Source organism: Homo sapiens, chromosome 12, assembly GCF_000001405.40.
Source record: "Homo sapiens chromosome 12, GRCh38.p14 Primary Assembly".
NCBI lineage: Eukaryota > Metazoa > Chordata > Mammalia > Primates > Hominidae > Homo > Homo sapiens.
The window spans coordinates 183,266-195,726 of NC_000012.12; the positions used below are offsets into that span (position 1 = coordinate 183,266).

Below are 12,461 nucleotides of genomic sequence, written 5' to 3' on the forward strand. Positions count from 1 at the left end.
AAGTGGAATAGGTAATTACAAGTCTTAGGGCCAGGAATCCCAGCACTTCGGGAGACCAAGGCAGGAGGATCACTTGAAGCCAGGAGTTCAAGACCAGCCTGGGCAACATAGTGAGACCCCCATCTATACACAGATCTTAAAAATAAGCTAGGCATGGTGGTATGCAACTGTAATCCCAGCTATTCGAAGGCTGAGGTAGGCAGATCACTTGGGCCCAGGAGGTTGAGGCTGCAGTGAACCGTGACTGCACCACTGAACTCCAACCTGGGCAACAGAGGGAGACCCTATTTCAAAAGAAAAAAAAAAGAAAGAAAAAGAGGGCCAGGTATGGTGGCTGACGCCTGTAATCCCAGCACTTTGGGAGCCCAAGGTGGGCAGATCACTTGAGTTCAGGGGTTCGAGACCAGCCTGAGCAACGTCGTGAAATCTCGTCTCTACCAAAAATACAAAAAATTAATGTCACTCCAGCCTGGGTGACAGAGTGAGACTCTGTCTCAAAAAAAATAAAAAAGAAGGAAAGTCTATTCACCATCGCCCAGCCCCCACCCCCAAGAAAAATCACACACACAACACCCGGCCAGATGATTTTACAAAATTCTACTACACTTCAAGGAACAGATAATTCCAATATCATATTAACTCTTTCAGAAAAGAGAAACAGAACATCTCCAAACTCCTTTTCATGAGCCTGGTGTAATCTCAAAAACAAAAACTAAAGCAGACAAGCACGGTATGAGAAAAAGAAGACTACCAACCAATCTTGTTTATGGGCATAAATTCAGAAATTCTAAACACAATATTAGCAAACTGAACCTAGTACTGAATAACAAAAAAAAATATGCCATAACCAAGTAGGGTTTGCCCCAAGAATGAACAGATGATTGAATATTAGAAAAATATAATAATTTGTTACATTAACAAATTAAAGGAGAAAAACAATATAATTATCTCAATAGATGCAGAAAAAGCAATCCATAAAATTCAACCCTTACTGTTGATTTGAAAAAAACCTATAGAACTTGGAATGGAAGAAAACTTCATAGCCCAGTAAATGATATCTATCAAAAATCATCAGCTGGCCAGGCATGGTGGCTCACACCTGTAATCCCAGCACTTTGGGAGGCCGAGGTGGGTGGATCACTTGAGATCAGGAGTTCGAGACCAGTCTGGCCAACATGGCAAAACCTCATCTCTACTAAAAACACAAAAATTCGGTGGTTCATGCCTGTAATCCCAGCACTTTGGGAGGCCGAGGCGGGCGGATCACGAGGTCAGGAGATCGAGACCATCCTGGCTAACACGGTGAAACCCCATCTCTACTAAAAATACAAAAAATTAGCCGGGCGTGGTGGCGGGCGCCTGTAGTCCCAGCTACTCGGGAGGCTGAGGCAGGAGAATGGCGTGAACCCGGGAGGCGGAGCTTGCAATGAGCTGAGATGGCGCCACTGCACTCTAGCCTGGGCGACAGAGCAAGACTCCGTCTCAAAAATAAATAAATAAAAAAATAAAAATACAAAAATTAGCCAAGCATGGTGGCTTATGCCTGTAATCCAGCTACTGGGGAGGATGAGGCAGGAGAATCACTTGAACCCAGGAGGCAGAGGTTGTAGTGAGCTGAGATCAAGCCACTGCGCTCCAGCCTGGGGGACAGAATGAAACTGTCTCAAAAAAAAAAAAAAATCATCAGCCGTCATACTTCCTAATGAAATGTTAGGGTTCCTGTCAAAACCAGGAAGGAAGCAAGGATGCCAGCTGCCACCACTTCTAGTTACCAAGTGAAGGAAGATAAGAGAAAGAATCATGATCGGAGACATAAAACTGTCATTATTTCCAGACAGTCTGAGTGTCTATGTAAAACACCCTAAAGAACCAAGAGGAAAACAACAACTTTAATTAACCCAGAGGAAAAGGCTGAGGCTGGACAGTGAGCCCAGGTCTCCGGACAGCTGGCCGGGTAAGGCCGCTCCCCCGGCCCCACCCGCTGTCATGGCTACCCTCTGTCCTGCTCCCCGGAACCTCCTCTCCATGACAAACCCAAATTCCAAATGCACTTGTTCAGGACCCACTCTGGCTACCTTTGCTTGCTCCCTGTGCCCGTGTCTTAGTGAGATGGGGACTGAGTCCTGCTTGGGGAAGGGACTTGCCCACTTCGAGTCCCTCATGCTGGGGTGCAGTGTCAGAGTTCTGGCCTCGGGGCCAGGGCCTTTTGGATGTGACAGCCACCCTCTGTGTGTTAGTGAGATGTGCTTGGGCAGAAAAAGCCTCAGAATGTGACTGCACCAGAAGTTCCGGCTAGACTCTTGTTATAGCCACAGGTTATGCACTGACCCTGTGGATGGACACGAGCCTGCAAGGACTCAGCCTTGGCAGGGAGCAAGCTCCCCTCTCTGTCTGTGGCATCATCTGGCAACTTGCACTCGCCTCCCGTTACTTCCCAGTCACGTGCCAGCAGGTTCCTCAGACCTGACAGGCCATCTGCCCCTGCTGTGGCCAGACTGGAAGCAGAGAGCGCTGGAGTGCGGGTCGCCAGGGCCCAGGGCACTGACCCACCTCAACCCTGTGCCACCTGCCAGGCTTGGCTCTCATCTCACCCCATCCTGTCTGGCAAACACATCCTCCCATGGCCGCTGCATCAATGGGTGGTTAACAAGCTTCTCATCCCTGTTAGATCCAATCAGCCCTTGTTACTTCACTGAGCAGCAGAACCTGCAAGGAAGCTGGGCATGCGAGCACGGAGGTGGCAGGGACAGACACAGCCAGTCTTCACCTCCTCACAGCAAGGACAGGGTGAGCCCAGGGTCAGGGGAGGGCTCTGGAGGGGTCAGAGGAGGTGAGGCTGTGGCAGAGAGGCAGGAGGCTCAGGCAGAAGGGCACGAGGGGGCTGAGGGACGCCTCTGAAGAGGGGCCACGCCTGACTCTCAAAGAGGGTGACTCTCGCGCTCTGGGAAGTGGCCACGACAGCACCCACAGGCCACAGTGCACGCTAAAGCTCAGCTGTCCAGGAGCACACTTGACCCAACAGAGAGCCCACATGAGAGGAGCCGAGGCCTTCCACCGGCAGCCACAGCAGCTGTCAGCCAGGTGAAGGAACTGCAAGCAATTGGATCCAAGGATAGGTATTATCTACTGCTGTGTAAAAAATCACCCCAAAGCTTACGGCTTAAAACAACCATATGCATTTCTCACCTCTCACTGGGGTCAGGCATTTGGGGCCCACTTGGCTGGGCATTTCTGGCTCAGTGCCTCTGTAAGGCTGTAGTCCCTGTGTCAGCCAGGGCTGCTGCCACTAGAAGCCTTGGCCAGCTGGGAGGATACATTTCCACGCAGTGTATTCACCTTGCAGCAAGCTGCTGCTGTTGACCATTAGTGGGAGGCCTGGATTCCACGTGGGCCTCTCTATTGGGCCAACTGTCCCCCCAGACAATTAAGCTTTGGTGTACTCTGCCACGTGGGCGCTGCTGATGTTAACACATCTATTGAGATGTAGCTCTGAAATTAGAGGTATCCACTACCCTTCTTCGGGAGAATGTCCAGGTGGGAGAGAGACTTGACCCAGGATTCATGGATGAATAGCATCATAGGGTGTGAGGTCCACACCGGAGCAGGCTGGAGCCTGTGGTAACCCTGCTACCACCACCCCTTCTGAGGCACCAGGACCCCCAACCACTGCCCTCTGCTGTCCCTTGCGTCGCACCCAAGGGCTCCTGTTCCCTCCCCTGCCCAAAGTTCTCACTTTCTCCGCTAGGGCACAGATTATGAATTCAAACGCAAAAGCGAATATGTGAGAAAACCAGGTGTGACAGAAGTGGGAAGACTGTGGCAAACTCCAGCATGCCTCAGGGCTTCTGCTGCAAAAATCAATTTTTTCATGCCACACTGGCCAAATTGTAGCTGCCAGATTTGGCCTCTGTTCACCAGTCTGCAACTCAAACACCAAAGGAAACGAGATGAAAGTGTGCCCAGAGTAAGTGGGTTCTTGGTCTCACTGACTTCAAGCATGAAGCCGCAGACCCTCACAGTGAGGGTTACAGTTCTTAAAGGCGGCGTGTCCGGAGTTTGTTCCTTCTAACGTTCAGATGTGTTCGGAGTTTTTTCCTTCTGGTAGGTTCGTGGTCTCACCAGCTCCGGAGTGAAACTGCGGACCTTCGCGATGAGTGCTACAACTCTGAAGGCGGCGCGTCTGGAGTTTTTTTTTCCTCCCGATGGTTCAGTGGTCTCGCTGGTTTCAGAAGTAAACCTGCAGATTTTCCCAATGAGTGTTACACCTCATAAAGGCAGAGTAGACCCAAACAGTGAGCAGCAGCAAGATTTACTGCAAAAGAGCAAAAAAAAAAAAAAAAAAAAAAAAAAAAAAAAAAAAAAAAAACAAACCACACACACAGCACCCACTGCACACAACGCGACCCCAGCGGGTTACCACTAGGGCCTCCGGCAGCCTGCTTTTATTCTCTTACCTGGCCCCACCCACATCCTGCTGATTGGTCCATTTTACAGAGAGCCGATTGGTCCATTTTACAGAGCGCTGATTGGTCCGTTTTGACAGGGTTTTGATTGGTGTGTTTACAACGCCTGAGCTAGACACAAAGGTTCTCCAAGTCCCCACCAGAGAAGCTAGATACAGAGTGTGGATTGGTGCATTCACAAACCCTGAGCTAGACACAGGGTGCTGATTGGTGTGTTTACAAACCTTGAGCTAGATACAGAGTGCCGATTGGTGTATTTACAATCCCTGAGCTAGACATAAAGGTTCTCCTAGTCCCCACCAGACTCAGGAGCCCAGCTGGCTTCACCCAGTGGATCCCTCACTGGGGCCACAGGTGGAGCTGCCTCCCAGTCCGGTTCCGTGCGCCCGCACTTCTCAGCCCTTGGGTGGTCGATGGGACTGGGTGCCCTGGAGCAGGGGGCGGCGCTGGTCGGGGAGGCTCGGGCCGCACAGGAGCCCATGGAGGGGGAGGGAGGCTCAGGCATGGCGAGCTGCAGGTTCCGAGCCCTGCCCCACGGGAAGGCAGCTAAGGCCCAGCGAGAAATTGAGCACAGCAGCTGCTGGCCCAGGTGCTAAGCCCCTCACTGCCCCGGGCCGGCGGGGCCGGCAGGCCGCTCCGATTGTGGGGCCCGCCGAGCCCACGCCCACCCGGAACTCGCGCTGGCCCGCAAGCGCCGCGCGCAGCCCCGCTTCCCGCCAGCGCCTCTCCCTCCACACCTCTCTGCAAGCTGAGGGAGCCGGCTCCGGCCTTGGCCAGCCCAGAAAGGGGCTCCCACAGTGCAGCGGGGGGCTGAAGGGCTCCTCAAGCGCAGCCAGAGTGGGCGCCGAGAGCGAGCGAGGGCTGTGAGGGCTGGGGGCACGCTGTCACCTCTCAAAAGCAAACCCAAATCACGACCCCACAGCTGCTCCTTACGCACGCACGTCGTATGCACACCCACACACACACAGGCGCGTGAACTCATGTGCACACACAGGCACACACACACACCTGTACTGGTGCTCTGGGCAGGCTGGAGAGTGAAACAGTTGCTCCTTGCCCAGGTTGTGGAGCCATTATGGCTGGGTCCCTGTGAGAGGTGAGGTTGGCCCGAAGTCCCTTTCCCGCACCCCCCTCCCCGTTCCCTCCATCCCCACCCCCATCCAGATCCCTTTGGACTCATCCAGAGAATGGGAGCGATGGAGGGAGGAGCTGTGGACGCTCTCAGCCAGGGCAGAGAGCTTGCGGGACAGGCTGTGCGCTAAAGCCAGGGGGTCTGGGGCAGCAGAGAGGATGGCGAATTGGTGCAGGGCGAAGGAATCTGAAAGAGGGCTGTGCGGTCCGCAGAGAGCGAGGCTTGGGAGCCCGACCCAAAGCGTGCCCTCCAGGGTGCAGCACCGACGGGTGCCGCGGCGTTTGCAGGCGGGGAGAAGGCGGCGGGAAGTACTGGACTAGCTGCGGGCAGGGGCCGGCTGAGGCGCGCGCCCGCGTGCTAGGGGCCCCGGGGGAGGGCGGCGGGGACGCGGCGCTACTCCCCTCTGCCACCCGGCGGCCGCAGACAGCGCTGCGCCGGCCTCGCGTTTTTCGTTTTCCGCCAGACCCGGCCTCGTAACTGAGAGCATCTGGCTGAAGCCGTTGCTCTCCTTCTCTTTCCCCTGGGCCTCCTTCTCTCCCCACTAGCCGGTCCAAGGAGCGAGGGCACAGGTGCACAGAGCAGTCCAGAGGGAGACAAGGGGGGCGGTCAGAAGCTAAGAGTACCTGAGGTGGCATAGGCCTGTCGAGGACGGAACTCACCCCAGCCTGACCTGATTTCTCCTGCAGCCCCTGGGCGGGGGGTCCAGGTGACATCTATATACGAATCACCCCCCTCATCCTGGCTGGCTTCCCTTGACCCAGGAAACTGCCCTGAAATTCCCTCCCCAGCCCCAGTCCCTCTCCTCCCTTCCCTTCTGAACACAACAGCACAGACCTTATCCAAACCCTGCCTCCTCCTCCAGGAAGCCTTCCAGCCACAGAAGAGGCATGTGGGACTCGGTAGGGGTGTGGGAAGAGGAGTGGGTGGGAAACGGGTGGAGCCATGTGTGGCAGCTAAGGAGGGCACCCCCACACCCGCCCCCTGGGACACTCTCACAGACTCCGTGCATTCCGTGGGGGAATAAGAGGTGGCAAGGACAAGAACAAAAGGATCTGGGAGGACATCGGGCCAGGTGATGATGGGCTGATGGAGAAATTACCAAGGCGGGGGCGCTAGTCTGGGGAGCTCCTCACCACCTCCAACAGAGGGGTCCTCTCTTCCCCCACCCCAAGCGGCATAGCTCAACAGAAACGGAGCAAGGCAAAGGAGACCAGCACGCATGGAAGGCAATCCATACACACTTGTTAACTAAGGCAGGGGGTTAATGGGAAGACACTGGCCTGAGCACAAGGAGATAAGGTTTTAGTCATATCTCTGGCCCCCAAGAAGGGGGTCCCCATGTGAACTTGAAAAAGTCCCTTTGTCTCTTTGGTCTCCAGGTTCCTCATCCATGAAGTCAGGGGTTTGCGTTAGAAGCAGGATGGCAAATGGTGCTGCCTGGAGCACATTCGGAAGGATTGTGAGGTGGGAAAGAATCTGTGATCAGTTAGCAATATCGGCCTTGGGCAGAGGAACGGACAGTGCAGGGAGGCATGCCGAGTGTTTGTGAAGTCTAGGAATCATCTCCCAAGCCCCTTCCATTCCAATGCTCCAGGAGTTGATGAAACACTGCAAGAACAGTGCGGAACTAGGGCAGGAGCTGGAGATGCCATGAGAGACTCGGAGGAAACTCCAGACTGACGGCATGCAAAGGCTTGCCTCTGTCGTTAAGCCTAAGGAAGGATCCCCTAACGGAACCTCCGATCCAACACAGTGTGTTCAGTTGTCACTTCCAACAGGGTATTGTCCCATCAGGCTCTCCACATTGGACGGCAGTGTGCGTTCCAATTATAGCTCCTCTCCCCGTGTACAAATGCAGTACGCTCTAACAAGAGGCATCCCCACAGTGGAATCCTCATAACTCGAGGTGTTGCAATCAGATGGCGGCCTCCAAAAAGACCCCCCTTTATAAAAACGATGGTGCCTTCCCACAGGGAGTGGCGTCCCAACATGGCACGTCCCAGTGGTGGTGTTATCAGCAAAGGGGAAGGAGCTGCTCCAGCTAGCACAAGAGAGGAGTCTGGCCTCCAGCTGGGGGTGCCTGTGGCTCTCCAGAGGTTCCCAGCAGGATTGTGGCAGGAGACAGAGGCAGAGGCTGTCCGCTGAGAATGGAGGGTGGCCCTGACCTAGGTTCCCGGCTTAGGAGCCGCCTGGCCTCTGGCCACACCCTACAAATGGGTCTCCTTCTCCCCGGCTATCAGTCCTTCCCTTGTTGGGGAGGGCCCAAAGTTCCGGCCAGCACTGCCATCCAAGCAGGGATGTTGCTTGGGCTGTGGCAGACTGGAGTCAGGGGTGATGAGCTGACGCAGACGCTGTGGAGAGAAGAGGCAGGGATTTGGAGCTGATGGTGAGGGAGGCGCAGAAGGTTCCTCATGTGTGCAACCCCAGGGCCCAGCCCAGAGCGGAGCACATGGCCAGCACCGCACAGTATGAGTGAGTCAATGAATGAACCGTTTGAGGTGAGAAGGGAGGCAGCAATACCGTGACTACGAATGAGTGTGCGCTGCCTGGGTTCCAGTCCTGGCTCTGCTGCCGACCTGCGCCACCTAAGGCTGCTCACTTAACCCCTCTGTTAATCCCCCTCAATTTTCTTACCTGTAAATTGAGAATAATAGTAGAATGCACCTCACAGAACAGTGCTTGGCACAGAGTAAGTGATCAATAAATATCTATTTTTGTTATTGTCATTATTGTTATTACTATTATTATGTGCTCAATAAGTATCTATTATTTTTCTTCTTATCAGTGGTACTGCTACGACTGTTGGTGGTGGTGGTGGTGGTGCCATCTGCTCCCTCCTTCTTGCCTTGAATGCAGATGTGATGACTGGAATCGTGACAGCCATCTTGTGACCATGAGGTGATAAACGTGATGATGAAAACACAGCATGCCCAGGATGGAAGTGTAGAAATGCAGGAAAAGTCTGGTCCCTAAGGGCCTCTTTAAGCAGCCAAACCAAATACCAGCAGCCCTAATCTCTGACCTTCTTGAAACATAAAAAACAAACAAGCCTATTTGCTGAAACTGTTGGAGGTTGGGTTTTCTATTATTTATAGGCAAGATAGATTTCTACCTTTGTGGGTCATTGGCTATAGCTCCTTCCAGGAGGATATGTCCCAAACTCTAGACAGGGAGCCTCTTGCGTGTGTCCCCAGGCAGAGTTAAGAAAAGAAGCCAGGAGCCTGTGTGTGGAGTGAACTGTGCTTGCTGGTTATCAGTTTTCCGAGGGCAAGGAATCTATAGTCTTGTAAACCTTCTGTGTCTGGGCACCTTCCTGTTCATGTTTGTGACTTAGTTTTCTCCTGAACCTTTCAGCAGTTTGCCCTCCGTTAGCCTGCCCAGATCATCCATGGGAGGTCAGAGTCTGTAGGTCTAGGACTCTAGGACTTTTCAGAGCATTTCTGAAAAGCCACTGGACTGGTCTTCAAAGTTCGTCTCGTTAAGATTCTGTGAGACTGAAGGGCTGCCCCACACTCAGAGTTTGTGTCTGCTCCCTGGCCCCAGTTGTGTGTCCTGCCCCAAGTCCAGCCTCTCTCAGTGCCCTCCTTTAAGAGGTCACTCTCCCCTACACCACCTACCTTCCTGAAAGGACCCCGAGTCTTCAGGAGGGTGATGACGACGAAGAGTGGGACACAGACCATGGAGGACAGAGCCAGGAACCAGCCAATGGAGTATCCCCAGGGCGGGTACACATAGACGTTGTTGTACTTGAGGGGGGTGTACTTGCTCAAGGAGAAGAGGAAAGTGGCCTGGGAGAAGGAAGGGGCAGCCATGGGTAAGATAGGGGGCGACTGAAACCCTCTCCGCAGCTACGTACAGCCAAGGACAGAGGACAAGTCAGGTGCACTGCAGCACGTCTGTAAGGTGGAAGAGTAAAAGCCCCTGCAAATCCCAGGCCAAGGCATCATTCACATCACAGACGGAGACAGGAGGCGATACAAAGGAAGGGAGGGGCTCGGAAGAGCATCATTCACATCACAGACGGAGACAGGAGGCGATACAAAGGAAGGGAGGGGCTCGGAAGAGCATCATTCACATCACAGACGGAGACAGGGGGTGATACAAAGGAAGGGAAGGGCTCAGAAGAGAAGCTCAGACAGACAGGAGACCAACCATCGAGAAATCAGGCAGAAGCAGGAGGCACTGTGAGGAAGGGATGGAGCCGGAAGTAGGAAGTAGAACAAGATTCTACTTATGGGTGGATGAGATGGCCCCAGAAAGAAGAGCAGGGAAGGCAACATAGAACAGGAAATGGACCAGGCCCCACGGGAGACTGGACAGGTGGGGAAAGAGCCCTGCATGTCAGCCGTCCTTTCCCTCATCTCTGGAGTCTTCTGGGGGCAGGAAGGAATAGAGGGGCAGCTGGTGGGCACATACCAGGCAAAGTCCAGGGGTCAGGAAGAGCCAGGAGATCTTCACCAGGGGCCATGGCCGGTAGCCAATCATGTCCTCAATGTTGTCATAGAAACGGTCCGCCCCTGAGCAGGCATGGCGTGGGAGAGTGTGAGAGCCAGAGGGTGAGAACAGCTTCCCGGTGTTTGGGAAAGACCCACTTGGCTCTGTGCCCTTCCCTCACCCCCGCCCTGTGCAGGGAAACTGGAACAGGGCACGTGAGTGAGACGCCTCCCTGACACCCTGTATCCCTGCATGAGATGCATTCGAGTCACGAGGCAGGGGCTGCCCCCACACACTGCTGCTGCCATCTCTTGTCAGTGCTGTCTCTTGCCTCCCTGTCTTGTGATGGAGACCCCACTGGTCTAACCACAAAGGAGTGGTGTGAGCCCAAAATGGGGCTCAATGGTTAGACAAACGCCTGTTTACCCGGGTAGCAGAGATGAATTTGGTTCAAGCCAAAACAGCAAAACAACAAGGCTCCCGCTGTTCAGACACATCATAGAAAACTCATAGAGGGCTAGAGGGCTACTGGGAACAGAACGGTGGTCTAGATTGCAGACTCCAGAGGAACCACCTCTGAGTTCCCAAAAAAGCATGGTAAGAAGGTTAATTTGTGTTTAGTGAAAACATTGACTGGCTGTATTTTTTGTTGTTTCACTCCTGCAGTTTCCACATTTGCTGTAGTTCTAGGCAGAGCCAGTCTTCTAAGAAGCAAAGAATCACTGAATGGTAAAGATACTTGGAGGGCCTCTCTACCTTCCCACCCAAAATACCTTCCCACCGATCCCTGATGCATGAAATCACACCATTAAAGAGTGGTTCCTTTGACTGTGAAAAGCCAAAGTTAAAAGCCAGATATGGCCAGGTGAGTGAAGCATGTTGAGGCTTATCAGCCATTCACACCTGTTGTGACCAAGTTTAGCAGGTCCTCTCTGAGAAGTTTTGAAAAGGAGTTGGGGAAATTCGGAAGGCATCAGATGCCTGAGGTGAGAAGGAAGGAACGTCTCCATGGAGAGGAAAGGACACAAGTGGGAAGGCTTAGGGCAGCAAAATAAAGTCTTTTCTACTCATGGCTGTTCCTGAGGCCCTACTGTGTGGCACCCACTGGCCCTCTGCCCTGAACCTTGTGACATTGGCACTGGGTTCCCCCAAGCGGTGCAGTGGAGTCAGAGGGACCTGGGGTATGAGGACGGCTTCTCCGCTTGCTACGTGAGCTTAGGCAAGAGACTGAACCCCTCTGAGCCTCACTCTCCCCCTGCACAGATTGTAAGTGTGTGAGACCAACCAGCCTGGCACGCAGTCATGCATTGGCTCAGTGAATCGGGCTTCTTCCCCTTCCTGGTGTAGGACATGGTCACCCCCTGGCTGTTGCAGCATTCAGTATGGTAGCTATCTCAGTCTGAGGGGGCCAGGCTGCTGGCGGAAGTCAGTGAAAGGCAGAATTCACCTCAGTACAGGAGAGAAATGCATAAATGGAAAAGACTCCCTCAAAAACACAGGAATGAGCTCCCTGTCCATGGAAGTACTCAGAGTCTGGGTGATCGCCTCGTTGTTGGAAAGGCAGTGTGGGAGTTTGCGGAGGATCGGGCTAAGTGGCAATAAACGTCCCTTCTGACTAAGATTCCCAGTGGCACAGGGCCTCAGGCCACCTCCATATCGAGGACACTGTGCGCTGTGCACTGTTATTGATCATTCTCTCACTGTTGAAGGAAATCCATTTTGTCATCATTACAGCTCTGCTTGCTGCCATGAAAATGCCAGGCTTCCCAGCCACGGGTAAATTTCCCAGTAAGAAGAAGCAGGGCAACAGCGCAAAGACACACAGAAACCAGGGGACCAGAGAACGGCCTCCCCCAGGCAAAGCCTGCCCCTGGCTGGCTAGACGGTCTTTCTCCCACCCTGCTTTCCCACCCCACTCCACCCCACTCACCATACACCCAGCTTATGCAGACCACTTCAAACAATGACAGGAACAGCAGGCATATGCCACTGGAAGCATAGTAGTCAAACAGCTGGAAGATGTACATCCCGCCCTGTGGGGAGAGCGTGGAGCTGGGGCATGGCCAGTGCAGAGCTGGGACACACTCCAGCCCTCAGTGAGATGGCAAATGCCCACGTGGGGTGCACTCCTGCCCGGCCTGTGGGATGCCATTCCTTGCATCTCAAAGGAGTTTGCCCTGTCTGCCCCTGCCTTCAGGCCCCCCAGTCAACATCAGGACAATAACCTCTGGCACTGGGAGACTGTGGTGGACACACATCATCTCGTCTGCCCAGCATCTCCCCTTCTGGAAAGTGACACCCCCTCATTCTTTGTTCCTTTTAGACTGGGGTATCCCTCTCTCTCTACTCCAGGCTTGAATAAGAGTCATAGCCTGGACATTTGCCACACTCTCAGGAAAAGGGCCCTCTCTTTCCTCCTGGGTTGGCTGACA

General features: G+C 53.8%; 1 protein-coding gene across 12 annotated transcripts in view, besides 2 other annotated features; it reads right to left on the reverse strand.

Moving 5' to 3' along the window:
* Window positions 1–582: 582 nt before the first annotated feature.
* SLC6A12 (solute carrier family 6 member 12) overlaps window positions 583–12,461 on the reverse strand; it is a 30,310-nt gene continuing 18,431 nt past the window's right edge. For 7 of the 12 annotated variants that reach the window (NM_001206931.2, NM_001122848.3, NM_001122847.3 and 4 more), the window contains 4 exons: window positions 11,960–12,062; window positions 10,012–10,112; window positions 9,213–9,383; window positions 6,816–7,946 (listed from right to left, as the gene is read on the reverse strand). In NM_001206931.2, coding sequence (NP_001193860.1) covers window positions 7,803–7,946; window positions 9,213–9,383; window positions 10,012–10,112; window positions 11,960–12,062 — 519 coding nt within the window. In that variant the 3' untranslated portion in view covers window positions 6,816–7,802. Of the gene's footprint in view, window positions 4,238–6,815; window positions 8,621–9,212; window positions 9,384–10,011; window positions 10,113–11,959; window positions 12,063–12,461 lie in introns of those variants that run through there. The other 5 variants (XM_005253748.4, XM_047429416.1, XM_047429417.1 and 2 more) reach the window with 4 other exon arrangements.
* Window positions 1,988–2,178: a silencer, noted in NCBI's record as "fragment chr12:294419-294609 (GRCh37/hg19 assembly coordinates)". NCBI's record gives its function as "represses an EF-1alpha promoter that drives an FKBP-Casp9 reporter gene in an ReSE screen in HepG2 liver carcinoma cells {active_cell/tissue: HepG2}" and the evidence as "EXISTENCE:reporter gene assay evidence [ECO:0000049][PMID:32094911]".
* Window positions 5,873–6,112: a silencer, noted in NCBI's record as "silent region_4100". NCBI's record gives its function as "represses an Ori minimal core promoter by ATAC-STARR-seq in GM12878 lymphoblastoid cells {active_cell/tissue: GM12878}" and the evidence as "EXISTENCE:reporter gene assay evidence [ECO:0000049][PMID:35858748]".